General features: G+C 36.1%; 1 protein-coding gene across 9 annotated transcripts in view, besides 1 other annotated feature; it reads right to left on the minus strand.

The window, feature by feature from the left end:
• The window catches only part of VPS54 (VPS54 subunit of GARP complex), a 127,279-nt gene that overhangs the window by 12,540 nt on the left and 90,656 nt on the right, over positions 1-24,083 (minus strand). For 7 of the 9 annotated variants that reach the window (XM_017004316.2, NM_001005739.2, NM_016516.3 and 4 more), the window contains 8 exons: positions 16,517-16,646; positions 15,757-15,938; positions 15,194-15,306; positions 12,211-12,274; positions 9,493-9,598; positions 8,534-8,621; positions 7,851-7,972; positions 7,656-7,736 (listed from right to left, as the gene is read on the minus strand). In XM_017004316.2, the coding sequence (XP_016859805.1) occupies positions 7,656-7,736; positions 7,851-7,972; positions 8,534-8,621; positions 9,493-9,598; positions 12,211-12,274; positions 15,194-15,306; positions 15,757-15,938; positions 16,517-16,646 (886 nt within the window). Of the gene's footprint in view, positions 1-7,655; positions 7,737-7,850; positions 7,973-8,533; positions 8,622-9,135; positions 9,237-9,492; positions 9,599-12,210; positions 12,275-15,193; positions 15,307-15,756; positions 15,939-16,516; positions 16,647-17,749; positions 17,892-24,083 lie in introns of those variants that run through there. The other 2 variants (XR_007076389.1, XM_047444731.1) reach the window with 2 other exon arrangements.
• Positions 22,166-22,460: a silencer, noted in NCBI's record as "tiled region #742; K562 Repressive non-DNase unmatched - State 15:Elon". NCBI's record gives its function as "represses a minimal TATA promoter and a strong SV40 promoter by Sharpr-MPRA in K562 cells {active_cell/tissue: K562}" and the evidence as "EXISTENCE:reporter gene assay evidence [ECO:0000049][PMID:27701403]".

The raw sequence follows: 24,083 nt of genomic DNA on the forward strand, positions 1-24,083 counted from the left end.
ACCAACACCACTTAGTTGATATACACAGGACACTCTACCCAGCAACAGCAAAATACACATTGTTTTCATGTGCATGTGGAACATTAGCCAAGATATTCTTTGGCCACATTCTGGGCCACAAAAGAAATCTTAGACATAAAATAACTGGAGTCACATAAAGTCTGTTTGCTGACCAAAACAGAATTAGACTTGAGATCAAAACAAAGATTGCTGGAAAAATCCTAGAATATTTAGAAATTAAGTAACAGATTTCCAAATAACCCAAGGCCAAAGAAGAATCACAAGAGCAATTAGAAAATATTTTGAAATAAATAAAAATAAAAGCACAAAGTATCAAAATTTGCAGGACACAGCAAAAGCAGTACATAAAGGAAAACACAGATTATCAAATGCTTATATTCAAAAAAGGAAAAGAAAGGTCTCAAATCAAAAATCTGGGCTTCTACCTTGAGAAATTAGAAAACAGCAAATTAAATCCAAAGCAAGTTAAAAGAAAATAGAAAATAAATAACACAGACTGGAGCAGGAAAATAAAAAGCAGAAAAAGAGCAGGAAATATTTACTTTTACTAAAAGATCAAAACATGTGATAAACTTCTAGCCAGAAAGGGGGAGGTGAGGAAGACTTTATAAATTAACATCATTACCAATATCATGAAAGAAACAGCAGATAATACAGATCCTCACTGACATTAAAAGAATAAAAGAATATCATATACAAGTTAATGCTTCCAAGTTAATAACAGATGAAATAGATAAATCCATTCAAAGAAACAAACTTCCAAAGTGTACTCAAGTAGATTACCCACATAGTTCTATATGTATTTTTTTTTTAATGAACTTATTAAAAACCTGCCTGTAAAGTAAGAACAAAGACCAAATGGCTTTACGGGTAAATTCTAACCTAAAACTTGGGGAAAAAATAATACCAACTCCCCACAAATTCTTCTTCCAGGAAATATAGGAGGAAGAATACTGTCCAACTCATTTTATGAGTCCAGTATTACTCTGATACCAAAATCAAATAGGCACTTCAAAACAAAACAAATAACCCTATAGACCAATATCCTTCATAATACCCCTCCACCACACAAAAAAATCCTTAAGTAGGTTTATCCTATGAATGCAAGGTTGGCTCAACCTTAAAAAATCAATGAAGGTAATTCACCTTGGCAATCCTAAAGGCAATCCTAAAATATTTAGAAATTTAGAAATTAATTTCTTCAGACTAAGAAATGCAGACCATATGATCATCTCAACAGATGCACAAAAAGTATTTGACAAAATTCAACATCTGTTCATCATATAAACCTCTTAGCAAACTTGAACAGAAAGAATCTTCCTTAACCTGATAAAGGCCTCTTAAAAAAAACCTACAGCTAACATCATACTTAATGGTTAAAGACTGAACATTTTGTCCCAAGACTGGAGAAACCAAGCATATCTGTTTTCACCAATTTTATTCAACGTTGTGCTGAAAGTCCTAGCCAGTGCCATAAAGCAAGGAAAAGAAATAAAAGGTATACAGATTGAAAAAGATGCAAGATTCTATTTGCAGACAACATGAGTGTGTATGCAGAAAAATCCCAAAGAATCTACAAAATTGGCATTGTAACTAATATGTGAGTTTAGCAAGGATGCAGGACACAAAGTTAATATAGAAAAATCCAAGGTGTTTCAATATATTAGCATTGAATAATTGGAAACGTAAATCTTAAAAAAAGATACCATGTACAATAGCATCAAAAATGAAGAAATACTTATAAAATGTGTGCATTATCTGTTTACTGAAAAATACAAAATTTTGATCAAAGAAATTAAAGATGTAAGGAGTAAAGAGATAGGTCCAGTGGTGTGTGGTAAACATTTAATGGGCTCACTGGGGGAAAAGCACTGGTTTGTAGTATTTGTTAATTTCCATGGTGTAAATATTCACACCACTGGCAAAGTTACCAGTGTGCTGTTACTGAATGTAGTATTGGGAAGAGATACACAACATAGTTTCTGGCTAGCAGGTGCAATCTGGCTCTGGTACAAAACTGGATATACCTTGTTTGTGGATCAGGAGACCCAATAATGTCAATTTCACCCCAACTGATCTATACATTCAACGCAATTTCAATCAAAATCTGAGCAGCCTTTTTGGTAGTATTTGATAAGCTGATATAAAATTTTATAGGGAAAAGCTAAGGACCTAGAATAGCCAAAACAATTTTGAAAAAGAACAAAATTAGTGAGCTCACATTATCTTATTTCAAGATTTACAATAATGCTGGAGTAGCTAAGACAGTGTGGTACTGGAACAGAATATAATCTCAAAACCAAACAAAAACAGTTGATTTTTAACAAAGGTGCCAGTGGAGAAATGATAGTCTTTTTAACAAAAGGTGCTGGAACTATGAAAAATGAACACTGACTTATACTTTGCATTATATATAAATATCAACTAGAAATGAATCATAGCCTTAAATATAAAACCTAAAACAATAACATTCTAGAAAAAAAATTGGAGAATATCTTTGTAACTTGGGTTATACAAAGATTTCTTGGCCGGACGCAGTGGCTCATGCCTGTAATCCCAGCACTTTGGGAGGCCGAGGTGGGCAGATCACCTGAGGTCGGGAGTTTGAGACCAGCCTGACCAACATGGAGAAACCTCGTCTCTATTAAAAATATAAAATTAGCTGGGCGTGGTGGTGCATGCCCGTAATCCCAGTTACTCAAGAGGCTGAGGCAGAAGAATAGCATGAACCCGGGAGGCGGAGGTTGCGGTGAGCTGAGATCGCGCCATTGCACTCCAGCCTGGGCAACAAGAGAGAAACTCCATCTCAAAAAAAAAAAAAAAAGAAAAGAAAAGATTTCTCAGGATAGGACACAAGCAGCATGAACAGAAAATAAATAAATAAACTGAATTTCATCAAAATCAAAAATTGCTCTAAGACACTGTTCATGAAAGGAGAAGACAAGCCACAAACTGGGAGAAAATACTTAGAAACCACATACTGATACAGAATTTGTATCTAAGATATATAAGGAACACTTATAAGACAAACAACCTAATATTTTTAAATGAGCAAGAAATCTGAGCAGACACTTTACCAAAGATATGAATGGCAAACAAGCACATGAAAAGATGCTTAACATATCTGTAATTATGTAACTTAAAACCACAATGAGTATCACTCCATACACACCTACAAGAGGACGAACATTAAAAAATAAAGTGATGGTGAAGAGCACCTGGAACTCTTCTACATGGCAAGTAAAAAGGCAAAATGATGCGTTTTAGAAAATTTTAGAAAAATTTTGCAGTTTCTTATAAAGTTACCATAAAATTTTATATTTCCATAATCCACAATTGCCAATCTTATTCCAAGGTATTTATACTAAAGAAATGTAAACACATACCTACACAAAGACTGTACATGTAAGCTTATAACAGCTTTCTTCATAACAGCCAAAAACTGGAGAAAATTCAAATGTCTATCAATTGGTGAATGGATAAACAAATAGCAGTGAATCCATACAATGAATACTACTCTATAATAAAACGGAACAAACCACTGACACATGCTGTAACATCCATGAACTCCAAAAACATTATGTTAAATGAAGTGTGGCACAGTAGACTACATTCTGTATAATTCTACTTAGAGGATATTCTGGAAAAGGCAAAACTACATGGACAAATATCAGATCAGTAGCTTTCAGAGGCTGAGTATGGGGAGTGAACTGACTACAAAAGTGCCCAAGAGAATGCTTACCAATGATGTTCTATAACTTGCAGTTATACTATCTGTATTTAGATACAGATAGTATACATACACTTAGAAAAGGTGAATTTTACTGACTGTAAATTATACCTCAATAAACCTGATATGAATTGCTTAGTTTTCTACTGGTAGTCACAGCGCTCTATTATCTTTCCACCATATCTCCCACTCATGTGTGCCCACTCTGATGCATTAGCCAAATGGAACTATTACCTTTATTATTAGTAACAGCAACAGCAAAAGCATTAGCAGTCAATATTTACTAGAACTTGCTATAGTCAGATACATGATAAAAGGAAAGCAATCCACATATATTATCTCATTAATACAACTGTATGAAGTAGGCTCCACTATTATCCTCTTTAGAGGCAGAAACTGAGGCTTAAGGAGATTAATAATTTGCCCAAGGTCCTTCAATAGCTAGTATGTGACAGACATGGGATTTGAATTTAGGTCTACCTGACTCCAAAACCCTGACAATGAATTGCCTTAAAATTTCTACCAACATGTTTGCTTATGCTGTTATCTCAGAGATCTGTTCTCCTCAACTTCATTTGCCCTCATCTTATCTATCCTTAAAAGCAAAATTTACATGCATGCCTCATTCATAAAACTTTCCCAGATCTCCTTCACCAGCTGACACCATCTCTTCCAAAGCCTTAAAAGCTCCAGCACTAAATTAGCTCCTTATTTGTAACACTTTACATATATCCTACATCCTGTCATAGTTATTGATGTACTTCCCTGACAAATATTTTGCTATTGGAGGACAAGATCAAAGGCTTATTCACCCTTGTGTATCCCTGATACTGAACAAAACAGTTTATATTAATACATAACTTACAGAATGAATGAATAAATGAATGGTGGTTGGAACATTAGTCTAGCTGTTAGTACAATTAGATATTGTTTCATCCTACCCAGGCAATGGTACCCTTACTTATTAGCTGCCTTTTTTTTTTTTTTTTTTTTTTTTTTGAGATGGAGTCTCACTCTGTCACCTAGGCTGGAGTGCAGTGGCGTGATCTTGGCTCACTGCAACCTCCGCCTCGTGGGTTCAAGCAATTCTCTGCCATAGCCTCCGGGTAGCTGGGATTACAAGCACCCACTACCATGCCCGGCTAATTTTTGTATTTTTAGTAGAGACAGGGTTTAACCATCTTGGCCAGGCTGGTCTTGAACTCCTGACCTCACGATCCACCCACCTCGGCCTCCCAAAGTGCTGGGATTATAGACGTAAGCGACCTCGCCTGGCCGTTTTTGGTTTTTTTTTTTTTTTTGAGACAGAGTTTCACTCTTGTTGCCTAGGCTGGAGTGCAATGGTGCCATCTCGGCTCACTGCAACCTCTGCTTCCTGAGTTCAAGCAACTCTCCTGCCTCAGCCTCCCGAGTAGCTGGGATTACAGGTGCCCACCACCACGCCTGGCTAATTTTTTTGTATTTTTGGTAGAGACAGGGTTTCACCATATTGGCCAAGCTGGTCTTGAACTCCTGACCTCAGGTGATCCACCTGCCTCAGCCTCCCAAAAGTGCTGGGATTACAGGCTTGAGCCACCGTGCCTGGCCACTTATTAGCTTCTTAGAATCAACCCATATGTTATTGTGTCATCCTTTCCTAAAATTATATTTTCAGATTAGAACATGAAAGGTTAAAAACTGAAAGGCAAACCCAAACCAAACACTGTCTGCTATTTTGATATTAATTAAAAACAGGGTCAAACTCCTGAGCAACACATGAAAGCAAACAGAATAGGGAGTGGCAAAGAGAGACTTGTTAACACAGGAAGAATGTAATATGCCAGAGTAATAGGAAAAGTCATCAATGGAGAAGATACTAGAGAGAACATTATGTTATAAAAGCCTGGCCATATTCTTCAACGGGTCAATGATATATATTTTTTTAAATGAGGAGGGGCGTGTTCTAGTTTATAAGACTTAAGAGACGTAATAACCAAATGCAATCTGTGAACCGTGTAGAAGCCTTTGTCCAAACAAATTATTATAAAAAGACATTTTTGGGACAATTAATAAGTTTCAAATAGGAGAATAAATATTAGATGATTTTGAGGAATTATCAATTTTGTTAGGTGTGATAATAGTGTGGTTATGTAAAAATGTTCTTAGTTTTTAAAAATGCATACTTAGGTATTTAGGGATAAAATACCATAATGCCTCAAATTTATTATAAAATATTTTAGCAAAAAAGGCAAATTGTTAATAACGAATATAGGTCATGCATACATGGGAAGTTAATTAAACAATTCTCTTTTTTCTTTACAGAAAAAAAAAGTAAGTTGTCATAGGAAAAAGTCTAGTCACTGTGACAATTCTTATTCAAAAACTCTGTGGATGACCAAAGTGACAGACTAAAGTCAGAGTTTTAAGAGTACTAGCACATCTTTGGTTTTTCTTCATTGTATTCCACAGCCTATTAATTGTTCCACTATTTTTGTTTGTTTGTTTTAGAGACCGGGTCTTGCTCTGTCACCTAGACTGGAGTGCAGTGGGGTGATCACAGCTCACTGCAGGCTGGAACTCCTGGACTCAAGCATAGTTCCACTATTCCCAGCCTAGTTCCACTATTTAACATATATTCTATTCTCCACTGTTAGCTGTTTACAGTCTTCTAACCTTGTTAGATGGTAAGCTTCTTGAGAGCAGACACAATATGTTACCGACTTTTGGTACACAGAAGAATGCTGTATATCAAAAAGGAAACTGGTAGAATAGAATTGCTTTTGAATGTAGCTTGTACTTGGCACCAGTGAAGAAAATAAAGCATCTCTAAACAGTAATTTTTCTCCCTTCACAACTAGAAACTAATTTAAATAGGCATAACATAGTATAGGTATGTTTGTACATAAATACAAATTCCTTAAGCTTCTTAAAAGTGAAGCATAAAACACCTGTATTACCAACTACACCAGAGGTGTAGTGTAGTCTGGGGATTCCCAGAAGTCAGAGACCCTTTCCAGGAATCTGGGAAGTAAAAGCCGCTTTCATAATAATATTATTAATAAGATGCTATTTATCTATTTTACTCTCATTCTCTCATGATTGAACAGTGGGGATTTTTAGATGACTTGTGATATCATTATTCTGAAGGCTAATAGAATATGTGTTTGGGTAGTCTTGTGTGTGAGTGAATGGACACCACTTTATCTTGCCCTTTTGATTCTTATGTACCTGCTGTTCCTGCCATTTCGGAATCTGAAGGATGCAAGTAGGATAAAAAGCAAATCAAAGTTCTTTGCTATTAAGGTTATTCCAAATATGATCTTGGACAGACAGTATACACTGAGTAAACTTTCAGACTTTCAAGTTACGAAATTTTGGCTTTCCCACTAAGACGTGAATTGAAAAACTTAGGGAAAGTAAACAGTGAAAGATAGATCAAGCGTGATTGGGGCTGACTAAATGATATTTTTCTGAAGATACTCTCCCAGTATAACTGCGAATTCTTTGGGGAACACTGCTTCATTTAATGACATATTGGGAATGAAAAACAAACAAGAAATGAATGTTGAAATGAATTAACATAAAAATACTTCTGCATAGGATTTCTACCATCCTTAGAATCATCTCTCCTACTCCTGCCAGCCCCTTAGAATATCAACTGTTTTGGAAATCCGAAAATTTTGTTGAGTTGTTTTCTAAACCCTGAATAATTTGTTAGATAACTGCAGGTTAGACCACTATGGGGGGTCTTGGTCACAGCACATGGTCACATTTTCCTGAAAAAAAATTTAAAATTCTACTAATTGGTAAATATCCTATGAAAGTTTAGATTATCTTTTCACATCTTAATTTATAAAGTACTCCTTATAAAATAGAAAATCATAATGTCTTTGAACAAAGTCTAATAATTTCTATAAATCATTACCTTAGATAACAGCTTGTCAAATAAGCTATCCATTATCGCTACAAGCTTAGCTGATATTTCAGCTATGTGATCATGGTAGTCCTGCAATGAGAAATGATAATTGTATTTTTAAGTCCCTGGGACACATTTTTAAAATACTTAACAATTAAGGATCTAAACTTATGAAACGCCAATAGAAAATATATGAAAAAGTACCTTAGTGATATGATCAAAATGCCTAAGCATGCTATATTGCTTAGGTGGTAGTCGAGCTTCAAAATGAGCCCGGATCACAGGAATGTAGTGCACAATTAACTGCAAACATCGTGAAGAAAGAGCTGAAGATCCAGGGAGTAGATATATAATGGAGAAATAAAAAAAAAAAAGGTATTAGTTGATTTTAATTACAAATCAAATCAAATAAAAAACATCACTTATAAAGAACCAGTTTATTTCATAAACGAAGAGCCCTATGGCAGAAGGCAACATATTTCATTTTGTCTAATAATTTGATACTGAATAATGTAATGAACATGCTGCTTTCACAAAGGACTCAAGTTGTGAGTATTATCAGTATCACAATAACAAGACAACTGATTCTCTTATGACATTCAGATAGCTTTCACCCCCAAATACTTTATACACATTATATCTTAATATTTTCTAGAGTGGTGTAACTTCCAAGTAACTTATACTTGGAGGGGAAATGCATCGTAACCTTTTCCCCATGGTTAGTTTTTTTCAGTGATGAGTATACATAAAAGAGTAAGTAGCATTTATTTTTAGAGTAATGCCACTTTGGTTAGAGCCATGAAAACATGAGGTATAAAAAAACATGATGAGAACAGTGACATCACTGTTAACACTTCAGCAAGTGAATTAAACGCAAGAATCCATACCCAAATTTTTTGTAGTTATCGTTTTTAGTCCAACAACTTGCAGTGCACCAGCTCCAAGAACTAACTGGCAACTTCTTGAATTGAAGTACTAACAAAAGAAGGAGAAAAAAACCCCAAAATTTACTAAAAACTGTTCTTTATATCCTGGCAATGTGCTATTATAAAAATACATTCCCCTTTCCTCTCATTCAATGGCCAAATGAATTATCTAGTAGAAGCAATTAGTATCTATTTATTTAATGAAAAAGAAATGAGAAGGGGAGATTCTAAATGATAATATTTACTGATAAGAAAAAAGTTGAAAAATTCTAAAAATCAGTTCGCAGAAATTAATCTTTAATTTGCATGTACAAAACAAATTCGGTTTCAGTCATTCTTGTTGGGAAGTCCTATTTTCAAAAGTTATAAAAATCTGTCTTGGCTAAAACATGACAACTCAAGTCAGAACATAATTAACAGATTAGAGGTTTGAAAAAAATAATAAAGCATTTCCTCCGTACTGGTAGTTTAAAATATCTCAATATGAAATGGCTGAATAAAATCATCACATTTTCATTTTATATCAATGGTTCTGAAAGAATGATGCAAGAAAAATCTCTAACCTTAGTGAGATGAATTTTGTAAAGTTCAGTGAATTCCTTCCATGCACATTTGAAGCCAGTCCAGGTTTTTTGACCTAAGTGGCCTCAGTCATGTTCAGCACCTAACGAACAAATCATCTCCTGTCTCCAATGTCATTAACAACTCTATGGGTGAATGAGGATCACTAACTGTGGAGTAAGAAGGAAGCAGGCAGCCTGTTTCCAATAACATGTTGTGATTCAACCACAATCAAATGTTATAAAACTAATGTCTTAAAGTTAATTTGACCTTGAAATGTCTTTGAGTTAAGATTAGTCACACCCTAATGTATTAATTCCTCGAAAAATTTTTCCATAATGGAGTGAAGTCATACATACCTTCAATAAATCTGACAGACGAGTAAGCATGTCAGTAGTAACAGATGGGATGTTATCCACACACTGGCAATATTCAAGGATAATTCTTATTAACAGCAATACGGTTCTACAAGAAAAGAAAAATGGCCCAATAGGAAATCAAAACAAGAAAAATCAAAAGGATTTGGCATATAAAAATCAAATTACTTAATGGCACAAAGGATCTCTGAGAATATAATGACCTTGGTAACTATGTTAAAGTATGCATTTTACCTACTAGTACAGCAGGTTCTTGACTAACACAAGACAAGAGAGGTGTCTAGAATGCAAAATTTAAAGAGGCTCTTACTCTGTGCAATTGCAGGATCAGCTTGCACAACACTGAGAATGAGTGGCTCCTTAAATTCTGTACAACAGGCATAATACTCTCTGTATGGCATTCTTATTAAGTAAGGGAGTCGCTTCAGTAAGACAGGTATTGCATTCATTAGCCAATTCAGAAACACTGACAAAAAGCCTATCCAGTGTTTCTGATTACCAACATAGTAGGTCCTCCATCATAACTAATGAATTGATGAAGAAAACCTAGTCCAGATTTTCTTAGTGAGATGGAAAAAAAAAAAATCTATAATGGCTTCTAAGGAAAACATGTCTCCTAAGAATTTTATTGGTAGGTCACAAAAGGTTCTCTGGCTGGGCGCGGTGGCTCACACCTGTAATCCCAGCACTTTGGGAGGTCAAGGCAGGCAGATCACTGGAGGTCGGGAGTTCGAGACCAGCCTGACAATGGAGAAGACCAGCCTGACAGTGGAGAAACCCTGTCTCTATTAAAAATTCAAAATTAGCTGGGCGTGGTGCTGCACATCTGTAATCCCAGCTACTGGGGAGGCTGAGGCAGGAGAATCGTTTGAACCTGGGAGCCGGAGGTTGTGGTGAGCTGAGATCATGCCATGGCACTCCAGCCTGGGCAACAAGAGCAAAGCTCCGTCTCAAAAAAAAAAAAAAAAAAAAAAAAAAAGTTTTCCGAAGATGATAAAGTTATCACCTCCATAGAAGGACAAATCACACGTTAAAAAGACACACTACTGGGAAGTTAAAGAAGATTGAAATTAAGGAGAAAGCCATTCATCATAGGATATCTAAGTTCAATGACATGCTCAGAAATAAGATCTACGTAAAATAAGGATTTATAAGAGCCTGAAAGATATCAGGAACTAATGATTCAAGAAAGATGGTGTCTAGCCTTTATAACACCTTGTCAGACCATATATGCATACTGGTCTCTATGCTTATTTCTCCTAGAGTCTGCCTAAATGAGCATGAGTCCATTGCTTATCTTTTGTAATTGTCTCTCAGAAGTTGTAATAGTTCCCCTTTAGCCAGGGAATTTAGTTTTTTGGCAACAGACTCTCTGCCTAAAGAGCCAAAAGCAAGATGGCCAGAGGGGACCATATCCATCAAGCAAGTGAAGAGTGACCAGATAACCAGTAGTTAAGGAGGGAAATCATAATTATATTGAAGGGATGGGATTACAGGAAGACTGAAGAAAGCTTTCCCTACCAGAAACAGGGAAGGACTTCAGAAGAGAAAAGAATGGAGGCTTTAGTTTAGAATGTGTGGACTTCAGGTATTTGAATACAGATACAGAAAAAGGATTAATTCTATACATACTTTTTGAGTGCTTATTATGGTGCCAAGAAAAATAAAAACGGTAAGACCTCATCTCTACCTTTGAGGAATTCAGAGTCAAATTAGAAGACATATACATAAATAAACAATTCTATTATACTACGGTAAGTGCCATGATTGAGGAACATAGAATTACATTCTTCCTGGAGGTGGTGGTCATTTCAAAAAACACTTGACAAGAAGAAAAGTGAAAAAGAATGCTGGGCTAGATATTGGCAGTTAGACCTAGATTTGAATTCTGGCTCCATTTGGGTCACTTGAACCACTTAATCTTCTAAGCTTCAATTCTCATAGTGGAAAAAGGAAAGAATAATCCCCAATATCTTTATTTTACAATGTAGTTGTAAAGATCAAATGAGATCACATATATATGAAAACACTTAAGCTGTGAAGTACTGTTAAAGCATATGAAGATATATTTTAATTACCAATTTAATAAAAGACATAGTACTAGACAAAAAAAGATGGAATTTGTATGCTTCTTAGTTAACTTGAATTTGAGATACTTTTATTGGTAAAAGATCTAGTGAATCAAATGATGCCAATGAGAATAACTACCAACAACTATCAACTTATTAGGTGCTAGACCTGTGCTAAATGCTTTACATGAATTACTTAATTTTCGCAATAATTCTGTGTATAGTACTATTTTCCACATTGTGTGGGTTCCAGAGTTCACAACTTAAACTATTATGCTATAATACATTCTAAGAAAGCAACAGAAGAAAAGATAGAAAGAGCCTGGGATAGCAATAATATCATGGATCCACTACAATTACTCTTGGGTTGTCTAGATTTCTTGTTATATGAGAAAAATCAAGCTTTTTGTGTTAAGCCAGTGCAGTCCTTAATAATGTATGCTACAGAAGAGAGAAGATAAAGAAATCCATAAAGTTTCCTTTAAGTTCTTTGCAGGATTTAAAACAGTTAATCCAAATTTAACACTGTTAAAACTGTTAATCCAAAATTTCCAATTCACTTCAAGGGAGAACTAGAAGACTTGTGTTTTAAATAGTTGACTCAACTACTAAAGAAAAATGTGTCACTCACCCAACAACTGCATACTGTTGTCCCTCGACAATAAGAACTTCAGCTGGTTTCCTTTCTTCTGTGGCTACAGAGTTAAGCAAATAAACGAGAGACAAGAGTACCAGACGAAACAAAATAGAGAAAAAGCTGAAGAAGATAATTCCTGTTTAAGGCCAAAAACTCTCATTTCTGAAAATAAACATCTACTTCCTGGGAAACTATTTGGCACACAGTAAATAAAGTATACTGGAAGTTGGAGAGATTTGGATTTGAGTACCAGTACTACCAATTACTGGATACATGACTTTGGGGCAATTATTTAACCTCTTTGAGTATCACTATCTGTATCTATTAAATGTGAACAACAATATCTTTCAGGGTTGTTGTTAATGGTAGAAATAATTATCACAAACTGCCTATCCCTTAGGGCTGGCACAAGGTAAATGATCAGCAAATAGTTTTTTAAAAAGTTATTAGTTTTGGAAAGGCAGAACTAGCATTTAAATTGGTTGTCTTTACTATTATCATTATAGAATACAAGTTAATTTCTAAATTTGATGGAAAGATTATATATTTAATTTTTAATACTTCAACCCAGACGTTACTTTATTTTCAGCATGTGATATTTCTTTAAACAAAATTCAGCATATTGAGGTGAAAAGAACAGTGGACTGGATTTTATCCTGGACACGCCAAATTGATTAGATTACCATGGGCAGCTCATTATGCTTCCCTAAGCTTCAAATCCCTTTAGGATTTGTAAATATATTTGACTATTTGAGAGCTATATATATTGCAATCACAATTTACTATGTATGTCAGAAGTATATTTTTTGAGGTTAAGGACTGTGTCTTCATCACTTCTCTATATTACAGAGAAGTGGCATAGCATCGTAGAAAAGAGAAATGGCCCTAAAGTCAGTCTGCCTGGATTGGAATCCCAGCTCTACCACTTCCTAGCTATGTAACCTTAGACAAGTTGCTTAACCTCTTTGTGCCTTAGTTTCTAAATTTGTAAAATAGGAATACTAATAATATCTAGCTCATGGACCTGTAAATGAGATAACACATGTAAAATACTTAGAACAAAACAGTGTAAGTAAACACTCAATTAATATTAGCTGCTATCCATTAATCTTCATTTCCCCAATGCCTAGCTGAGTGGATAGTAACCCAATTAATTTATCATGGATAAATGGGTAATAATCCAGGATCCTTAACTTGAAAAGAACTAGTAAAATGTTAATGGACTTCTAATAGCATACACCTATGCTATTCAGAGAGGAAAACAAAGACTGAGATGAAGCAAGGTATGTAAAAGAAACCTCCTACCATCAATATCCTCCAAAGAAGTGAAAATAAGTAGTTCATGTTTCAAACAAAACACATGAGTAATTCAATTATTCCACATTTATGATTTTAATTCAGAAATCATTCTGTTTGCTTAACAGTGGAATCAAAAGACCATGAGCTGTTCAGGGACAGAAAACATATCCTAGTCATCTAGCACAGCACCTCACATAGAGGGAAGTCAATTAAATATAGCTTGAAAGACTAGATGAGTGATAAGTCTTATAATTTTAAACTAGTGATTTGGAGTGGTCAGAGTTTTATTTTTCCATCAGCTCTTGCTACTTGAATGCTTTAGTTGTGCCAATATCATACCATCAAGTAGAAAACTCTACCACCCAACACTATTACCTATTAAAAACTGTCATATGACAAAAATTTACTTAATTCCTTCAATTTTTCTCTGCCCTATATCAACTCATCTATTTTATACTTGTCCTTAACCCTCTTCCCCTTGTCACAGGGGCAGAAGTAGTAGCCTTTCTCTTAAACTCTAGATTCGATTCCATGCACCTTGCCCTGTAAATCACCCTCTCTCTCTAACTTCTTTAGCTACTATTTCATCACTCACTTTTCCTGCATGCCAAATCTGTTGAAAAAGTAGGCTATACTTGTCTACCCTTCCTCACTTTTCCAGTTACTAAGCACTGAACTGCAATTTGACTATCACTCCACTGAATTACTGAGATTGCAAATGATCTATGTATCAAACTAATGGTTACTGTTGGTGTTTTACTCAAGTCTTTCTCTTGTAGTCTAGTTGCATTTTGTGCGAATGTGAAGTATACAATTTAAAACTTTGATTAAATGCATAAAATCTGAAATAGTTCAACTACCTTCTCTATTAGAAATACTCAAGAATTTCATAATTGTAAATCTTATAGGACTATTATAAATAAATTTACATTATTATCACATGATGACTCCACCTGAACTAGGGTACAAAAATATTTCCCAGCCATCTCTTCCACATGAAAACTCTCTCATCATTTTACTTCTATGTTCTAGATTTCTCCCTGCCTCTCTGGTTCTTCCTTTTTTGTCTCCTTCATGGTTTTCTTTCTTTACGTTTGGATTTTCGCTATCATGTAACTACATTACTTGTGATTGCTTATGTATTTTTTGGTTTTGTTCATTAGACTTAGCCTCTTTAAAGCAGAAATACAGCTGTTATCTCTGTCTCAATTCTGTCTCAATATAGGACACAAAGTAGAAGCTAACTAGCGCTTACTCAATTCATGTATGTAAACAATACGGTATAGTAGCTAAGAACATAGCTATGAAATTATATAAAGCTGGTTTCAAATCCCAACTCATCATTTGTATAAAAATTCCTTAACCCTTCTAAGCCTCAAGCCTCCTCACTGTTACACAAAGAAACAATAGTACCTGTATCACAGATCGTTGTGAGAATGAACTGGAGTAATGCATGTAAAGAACATGGTCCAGTGTCTGGCATATGGTTATAACACGCAATAAATATTTGAAATAATTATTATAAATTACCATAGTTTTCCTGTCAAGTATTTACTAAGCTGGAAATATTGGTTCTAGCTTTGAAATAGGCATTGTCAACTAAAGAAATATTAAGCATTAATACAAAATAAATAAACAATATAAAATTGAAAGAGAATGTGTGAATGAATACACATACCTCCTGATTTTTTTTCAGGTAAAGCAATCTTCCCATCTGACAGAGAATCAACAAGATCCTGAAATTCTGCAGGAACATCTGCTTGCTTCCAGCGCTCATTGTCTAAGAGGAGGCTAGTCCACAGTAAGGAGAAAAGAAGGTAAACTTTAACATTTCAATACCATCTTCCTTGGTTTAAAAGAAAAGGAAGAAGAGCTGAGTGAGAACATAAGACTTAAAAAGTGCTGAACACTTTAATAAGCAGGACCAATACTTAGAAAATAGTTCCCTTTTTATATCTCAGCCTAATCAAAAAGAATGATGAAACAATTTACTTAACTTTGAGTGGGAACAAAAGTCAACTTACTGAGGATCTTCCTGATAAGTACTTTAATAGAAGTAAACATTCTAACTCCACTTTGAAAAGCCAAGAAATGTGATTTTAATTCCACAATCTGCCTTTAATTAAAAAAACCTTTATCAGGCATTTTCACTGGCCAATTAGGTTTCCTCTTTTAAACATAACTGTGTTTCACAAAGAAAAATGAAAAAATCAAACAACAGAATGGACATGGTGATGATACCTGAGCTTGGTTTTTCTCTCTTCATGAAACCTATTTACAAACTTAATAGCTTGGCTCTGAAGTGCTCCAAGTAATGACGTGCTTTTTCTTCCACAGATCTGTTCGGTGTCTAAAATGAATGTTTCCATTAATCTAGAAAGTGTTATGAATTCCATGGAATTTAGCTTCTCAAGAAAACCATCCTAAATTTTAATACAAAAATCATGAGAGTTAGTGTAACACCAAATTGAGTTATGAAACCAAGTTAGTTTAACGATTATTATAATCTATATATTTTTTATTTTAATAATATTTCCCAATACTTCAGACCCAGAAATTGAGCATGAAATGCTTAAGAGGTCCAAATTTGATTCTGATCCCTTTATAACTAATATAGTAGTTCAAATGAATTTAGGTCATACTATAAAATTTTCACAATGTTGGAGTTTTATTATAAACTTGTTTAACTACATATATTTAGGTATACATATATAGACTTACTATATATGTAAAACAACATTAATTTCAAATTAGTTATTAACATATATTTCAAAATGTCATTTAATCATTTATCTGAAAATAATGCTTTAATAACTCCTATTTATTTTAGATTACTTCATATCTCAACATCTCCCTAGTAGACCACATCAGTGGTAACACTGACTTTATTAAATGTTAAAAATATAATATGCATTATGGGGAACACAGGAAGCAAAGACATAATTCCAGATCTTCAAAATTATTACGTATAAAATATATAAAGCTTTATGAAAATAGCTACCTTTGCTCTTGACATGAGAAATTTGACAGCTCGATCATGGCATATATCTGAGGCACTATATAATAATTCCTGGATATTATTTGCCAGCTTTCCTAGCTCTGAGTCAGTTAATTTCATATCTTCACTGACCCTGAAAATAACAAAATAAGATTTAGTCAGGGAAAGTTGTAAACATAGTATTCTCCACAGGTGACCTATCAATAAAAAGGATGAAAAAGCTGTAAAATTCACATTTGAAGAAAAATTCTATGATGTACCAAATATCTTATAGTTTTTATAGTGAAACATTACTTAAACATGCTCAGATAATACAACTATTATCTATATTATTATTTGTTTTGAGACAGGGTCTTGCTCTGTCACCCAGGCTGGAGTGCAGTGGCACATTCAGAGCTTACTGAAACCTCAAACTCCTAGCCTCAAGCAAACCCCCTACCTCAGCCTCCCAAGTAGCTGGGACTACAGAGTCTTGCTACAATGCCCAGGGTGGTCTCAAATATCCCTGGCCTCAAGCAATCCTCCCACCTCAGCCTCCCAAAGTGCTAGGATTTACAAGTGTGAGCCACTGTGCCCATCCACAAATGTATTTTGTCATAACCTTAAATAAGAATTTTCATTCTCCACTGTAGTATTTTCAACACTTGGTTCAGACTCCAATTGGAAAGTCTGCAGAAACTATAGCAAAATTAAATTTTTAGATTAGGTACAAGGTAGTAGCTATGTCAGGGGACAGTTGTGCATAGGCACCTAGGATGATACAGTGGAAGCAAGAAGAGGGAAGGAATGTTATTTCATGACAAACAGGCTCTCTTTTTACTTATAATTATGAATGAGTATAAATATTCAGTTCAACTGAACTAATATTTACTAAGCATTTACCATGCTTAAGCGCTAGGCACTAGAGGGAATATAATAGGTTGCTGCTTTCAAGGAACCTAAACTCAAAGAGGAGTATTTATAAGACATAATGTGCTTTTTTTCAATTTTGAGGGGGAATGTAAAACTTTCTATTTTTAAACATTTTCCCCCAGGGGCATATATAAAGACCAATGATTCCATGCCATCAGTTCAGTTTAGTGTTACCATGAGCCAAGTGAAGTACCTTAACCTCATTTTTCTCTCTTTCAGTTGAATTAAAATACTTTTCAAAGATACTACAAAGAGGCTCTGGTGTATATTACTTTGAGGCAAACTACCATTCTAATTGGTTATGGTATTAAAGAAGGTTATTACCTGCTATCCTTCAAAATCATAATATCACCAAATTTGTTTACTAATGCTTCAAAATAACAGAAGAATTAATATTCTTAAAGTACTCGCAGAAACATTATCTCGTTTCATTCTCACACTCTGAGGTAGGTAGATAAATAACCACCTATGGAGGAGAACACTGAATCTTAGAAAGTTAAAGTGACCTATCCAAGGTTAGAATATTAAGAGAGTAGAACTAGAACCTAGACTTAGTCTACTTCTAATCGATTAAGCTTCCTCTGCTCCGACATTTCTATATAAACAGTCTAGTAGTATTTCAAAACAGGATACCTGCAAAATTCTTGCTTAAATTTCAAAGTCAACTTTACTACTGAAGTAAATTTTTAATTCCTGAAACATTACTTAAAATTTCCCCCATGTAACAGAATGATTAAGGAATTTGAAACTCTTGGCAATATCCTACCAATTCACAAAAATATAAACAGAAAATAGCAAATAAAAACAACTCAAGTCCTTAAAAAAAAAAAAAGAGTGAATTAATCCAAAAAGCCCAAAGTTAGTTTTTTAAAATAATTTCATTCATTGTAATTCTGCTCTTAAAAAGATTTTTTGGGGCTGGGGCGCGGTGGCTCACGCCTGTAATCCCAGCACTTTGGAAGGCCGAGGCGGGCAGATCATGAGGTCAGGAGACCGAGATCATCCTGGCTAACACATGGTGAAACCCCGTCTCTACTAAAAACGCAAAAAAATTAGCCAGGCGTGGTGGCAGGCGCCTGTAGTCCCAGCTACTTGGGAGGCTGAGGCAGGAGAATGGTGTGAACCCGGTAGGCAGAGCTTGCAGTGAGCCGAGATCGCACCACTGCACTCCAGCCTGGGCAAAGGAGTGAGGAAAAAAAAAAAGAAAAAAAAATTATTTTTTAACTTCAGTTAGATCTCTAACTTTCACGTCAATAGGGAAAAAACAAACGAATTCAAACATAATCCAGCAATTCTACTTCTGGGTATATATCCAAAATAACAAAGTAAGATCTCTAGGATTTATATGTACACTCAAGTTCATAACAGCACTATTCAAAATAGCCAAGACGTGGAAGCAACCCAAGTGTCCACTAATGGATGAACAGATAAACAAAATGTGATATATACATATACATCTTGTATGTATATATCACATACATGTGAATGGAATATTATTCAGCCTTAAAAAGGAAGAAAATTTTGATATATGCTTCAACATGGATGAAACTTGAGGACATTATGCTCTGCAACTCTAATATTTTCCATTGTTTTTCTCTTCCTATTTCCTGCCTAGAAAAGTATTTCCTATTCTGTGCCTTATTTGCATTGCAATAAACTTACAAAATTGCAGGTTATTTTGAAGTAAGAAAATAGGGAAAATCTACCACTAACAAAGTTAGAACGTCAGACGTATTTTTGCATGTTCTATATCAGTGATTCAATTATATACCACAAAAACACTTGCTACAGGAATAGTCAGAGCCGTTGTATGAAAGAACTAGTTAGACTCACACATATAAGTATACTCAATTCATTGCCCCTTTGGGTTGGGTAGTTCCCAGACATTTATGTGTCTACTGAACATAGAAAGAACCATCTACAGAACCTATGCTTCATGCTGTAGGAGGATGCAATTGGGGAAAGCCAGAGAAGGTTCAATGTATAAAGTGAGCCACAATGGAGGTAGGAGGGGAAGGATAAAAACTGTGAGACTGCATCCAGTTTAAAAGGATCTCAAATGGTGTGGCAGAAAGCTAACTATCTTTCAGTATCTGTTCTCTCTTTTGCCACAATGACAGCTCTAGCTGGGCAAATAGTCCACAAGCTAAAGACTTATTTCTCAAGCTTCCCTTATAGCTAGACATAGTCATGTAATTATTCTGGCCACTAGGATGTGAGTGGAAGTAATAAGTGTGAATTCTGGATTGTGCTTGTTTTTAAAAAGAAAGAATAAAATATAAACAAATCTACATGAAGGTAACAGAGAACTAAGAAATCTAAAATGTATATGGATTTGTAAAAGACCAAGAAGAGTTGAGGCAATCCTAAAGAAGAAAAATTGGGAGAAATTAATCTCCCAGATATTAATATGGATTAAAAAGCTACAGTTGCTGGGCATGGTGGTTCACGCCTAGCACTCTGGGAGGTTGAGACAGGAGGATCACTTGAGGCCAGGAGTGACCAGCCTGGGCAACATAGTAAGACCCCATCTCTACAAACTAATTGTTTAAGAAAACAAAAGCTATCGTAACTACAGTAACTATGACAATTTTACTTAATGGTACTGGTGTAAAGACAGAAAAATGAACGAAATAGAGTCCAGAAACAGATACGCCTATCTGAATATTTGATTTATGTCAAGAGTGACATTATAGAGCAGTAGGAAAGACAGCCTTTTCAATAAATGGTGCAAGGTCAAAAACATATCCATATGGGAAAAAAATCTTAACCCTCATACTAAACATAAAAATCAATTCTAGATGGATTGTAGGTCTTAATGTGAAAAAGACAGTAACAAAGTTTCTAGACAGTAACCAGAAAACATCTTCAAGTCTTTAAGGTAGAGAAAGATTTCTTAAACAGGACACAAAGAAGCATAAATCATAAAGGAAAGTAATGAATCATAGAATTATATTAAGAACTTTTGTTCACCAAAAAACCCAATAAGAGTGAAAAGTCAATACAGAAAGTGGGAGAAGATATCTGCAATATGGACAACTGGCAAAAGGTTTGTGCTGACATAATATAAACAACCTTCACAGATCAAGACAAACCAACAGAAAAATGGGTAAAGGCCTTGAATAGGCACTTCATAGAAAAGGACATCCCAGAAGCCAATGAATGTATGAAAAGGTGCTCTCCTAACAATCATCAGGGAAATAAAATTACTACACTTGCAACATACCCAACAGAATGGCTAACATGTAAAAGACTGGCAATATTAAGAGTGAAGGAAGATGTGGAGTGACACAAACTGCTCCACACTTCTGAGGGGAGCATAAATGAGTACAACCACTTTGAGAAATTGTTAGGCATTAGCTAAATTGACCATTCACATACTTTGTTTCCAGGTATATATTCAACAGCAATGCTTGTAACATGTGCAACAAAGGTATCTAGAAGAATGTTCGTGACAATCCAAAATGAAAATAACCCAAATCTTATCAAAAGTAAAATACATACATACATTGTGGTGTATCATAAAATGGATTATTTGTACACAAAAAATAAAATCACTGCTACATGTAACAACCTGGATAGATATCACAACTGTAATGCTGAACGAAAGAAATCAGAGACAAAAGAGCAAATATATTATTCCATTAACATAAAGTTTAAAAACTGGAAAAACCAATTGTTTTAATGGTTTCCTATGGGAAGGAGTAGTGTAGTATTACAGCAGCAAGAGGGGCTTCTGAAGAGCTGGTAAAGTTATAGTTCTTGAGGGGGGTGACAATTACACCAACACATTCACTTTGTGCTAGTTAATTGAGCTGAGCACTTTATAATTGCTACATTTTCCCATATGTGCCTTATGTTCCAAATGGATCATAAAAGGGCTGAGAGGAAGATGAATACAAATGATACTTGAAGATGGAAGGTGGGCTTAGTTCTACCCAAATTACATGGCTGTTGTTAAAATGTTTAACAAGCAAAACAAAGTAAGCAAGGTATCAGCCCTTTGTCCTCTCCTTCCTGCTGCTACGGATGAAAATGAAATGCTAAAAGCCAGAACAGCCACCTTAGACACAGATGAAAACTACACATGAGAATGGTAGAACTGTCTTCTCAGCTGACCATCTCCTACCTCTGAAATGTTACATGAGAGAAATAAAATTTTACATTGTTTAAGCTACAGAGTTTTTACATCTCTTTTTATAGCAGTTTTAGACTGCACCCTAACTAGTAAATGTGAAAATATCAGCCTGAACACAGAAGAAACTTTATTAATATATAGCTCAGGGTTTGGTTTGTTTGTACTGAAGAGCAGTGTTATAGCTGACTTTATGCTGTAACTGTGACCTTTATAAGCTCCAGGACCATAAGTTGATTTACATAAAGTACTGAGCTGACCGGTCGCTCCCAAGATGGCTGAATAGGAACAGCTCTTGTCTACAGCTCCCAGCGAGATCGACGCAGAAGACGGGTGATCTCTGCATTTCCAACTGAGGTACCTGGTTCATCTCATTGGGACTGGATGGACAGTGGGTGCAGCCCATGGAGGGTGCGCTGAAGCAGGGCGGGGCATCGCCTCACCTGGGAAGCACAAGGGGTCGGGGGATTTCCCTTTCCTAGCCAAGGGAAGCTGTGAGTAACTGCACCTGGAGAAGTGGTACACTCCTGCCCAAATACTGTGCTTTTCCTATGGTCTTTGCAACAGGCAGACCAGGAGATCCCCTCCCGTGCCTGGCTCGGTGGGTCCCACACCCACGGAGCCTTGCTCACTGGTAGCACAGGAGTCTGAGATCCACCTGGGATGTGAGAGCTTGGTGGGGGGAGAGGCGTCTGCCATTGCTGAGGCTTGAGTAGGCAGTTCTATGCTCAGAGTGTAAACAAAGCAGCAGGGAAGCTCAAACTGGGCAGAGCACACCGCAGCTCAGCAATGCCTACTGCCTCTCTGGATTCCACCTCCCTGGGGAGGGCACAGCTGAACAAAAGGCAGCAGACAGCTTCTCCAGACTTAAACATCCCTGCCTGAGAGCTCTGAAGAGAGCTGTGGTTCTCCCAGCACAGTGTTCGAGCTCTGATAACGGACAGACTGCCTCCTCAAGTGGATCCCTGACCCCCGTGCAGCCTGACTGGGAGACACCTCCCAGTAGGGGGCCGACAGACACCTCATACAGGTGGGTGCCCCTCTGTGAAGCTTGCAAGGGAAGGATCAGGCAGCAATATTTGCTGTTCTGCAGCCTCTGCTGGTGATACCCAGACAAACAGGGTCTGGAGTGGACCTCCAGCAAACTCCAACACACCTGCAGTTGAGGGATGTGACTGTTGGAAGGAAAATTAACAAACAAAGGAATAGCATCAACATCAACAAAAAGAACATCCACACCAAAATCCCATCGACAGGTCACCAACATCAAAGACCAAAGGTAGGTAAAACCAAAAAGATGGGGAGAAACCAGAGTAGAAATGCTGAAGACTCCAAAAGCCAGAATACCTCTTCTCCTCCAAAGGAACACAAATCCTCACCAGCAAGGGAACAAAACTGGACGGAGAATGAGTTAGACGAGCTGACGGAAGTAGGCTTCAGAAGGTCGGTAATAACAAACTTCTCTGAGCTAAAGGAGCATGTTCTAGCCCATTGCAAGGGAGCTAAAAACCTTGAAAGAAGATTAGATGAGTGGCTAACTAGAATAACCAGTCTAGAGAAAAGCTTAAATGACCTGATGGAGCTGAGAACCACAGTACAAGAACTTTGTGAAGCATACACAAGCTTCAATAGCCGATTCAATCAAGTGGAAGAAAGGGTATCAGTGACTGAAGATCAAATTAGTGAAATAAAGCGAGAAGACAAGATTAGAGAAAAAAGAGTGAAAAGAAATGAATAAAGCCTCCAAGAAATATGGGACTATGTGAAAAGACCAAATCTACGTTTGATTGGTGTACCTGAAAGTGATGGGAAGAGTGGAACCAAGTTAGAAAACACTCTTCAGGATACTATCCAGCAGAACTTCCCCAACCTAGCAAGGCAGGCCAACATTCACATTCAGGAAATACAGAGAACACCACAAAGATACTTCTTGAGAAGAACAACCCCAAGACACATAATTGTCGGATTCACCAAGGGTGAAATGAAGGAAAAAATGTTAAGGGCAGCCAGAGAGAAAGGTCAGGTTACCCACAAAGGGAAGCCCATCAGACTAACAGCGGATGTCTCTGCAGAAATCCTAGAAGCCAGAAGAGAGTGGGGGCCAAGATTCAACATTCTTAAAGAATTTTCAACCCAGAATTTCATATCCAGCCAAACTAAGCTTCATAAGTGAAGGAGAAATAAAAGCCTTTACAGACAAGCAAATGCTGAGAGATTTTTGTCACCACCAGGCCTGCCTTACAAGAGCTCCTGAAGGAAGCACTAAACATGGAAAGGAACAACTGGTACCAGACACTGCAAAAACAGGCCAAATTGTAAAGACCATCAATGCTAGGAAGAAACTGCATCAATTAGTGGGCGAAATAACCAGCTAGCATCATAATGACAGGATCAAATTCACACATAACAATATTAACCTTAAATGTAAATGGGCTAAATGCCCCAATTAAAAGACACAGACTGGCAAACTGGATAAAGAGTCAAGACCCATCGGTGTGCTACATTCAGGAGACCCATCTCACA

The sequence above is a fragment of the Homo sapiens genome, chromosome 2, assembly GCF_000001405.40.
Source record: "Homo sapiens chromosome 2, GRCh38.p14 Primary Assembly".
In the NCBI taxonomy this organism is placed as follows: domain Eukaryota; kingdom Metazoa; phylum Chordata; class Mammalia; order Primates; family Hominidae; genus Homo; species Homo sapiens.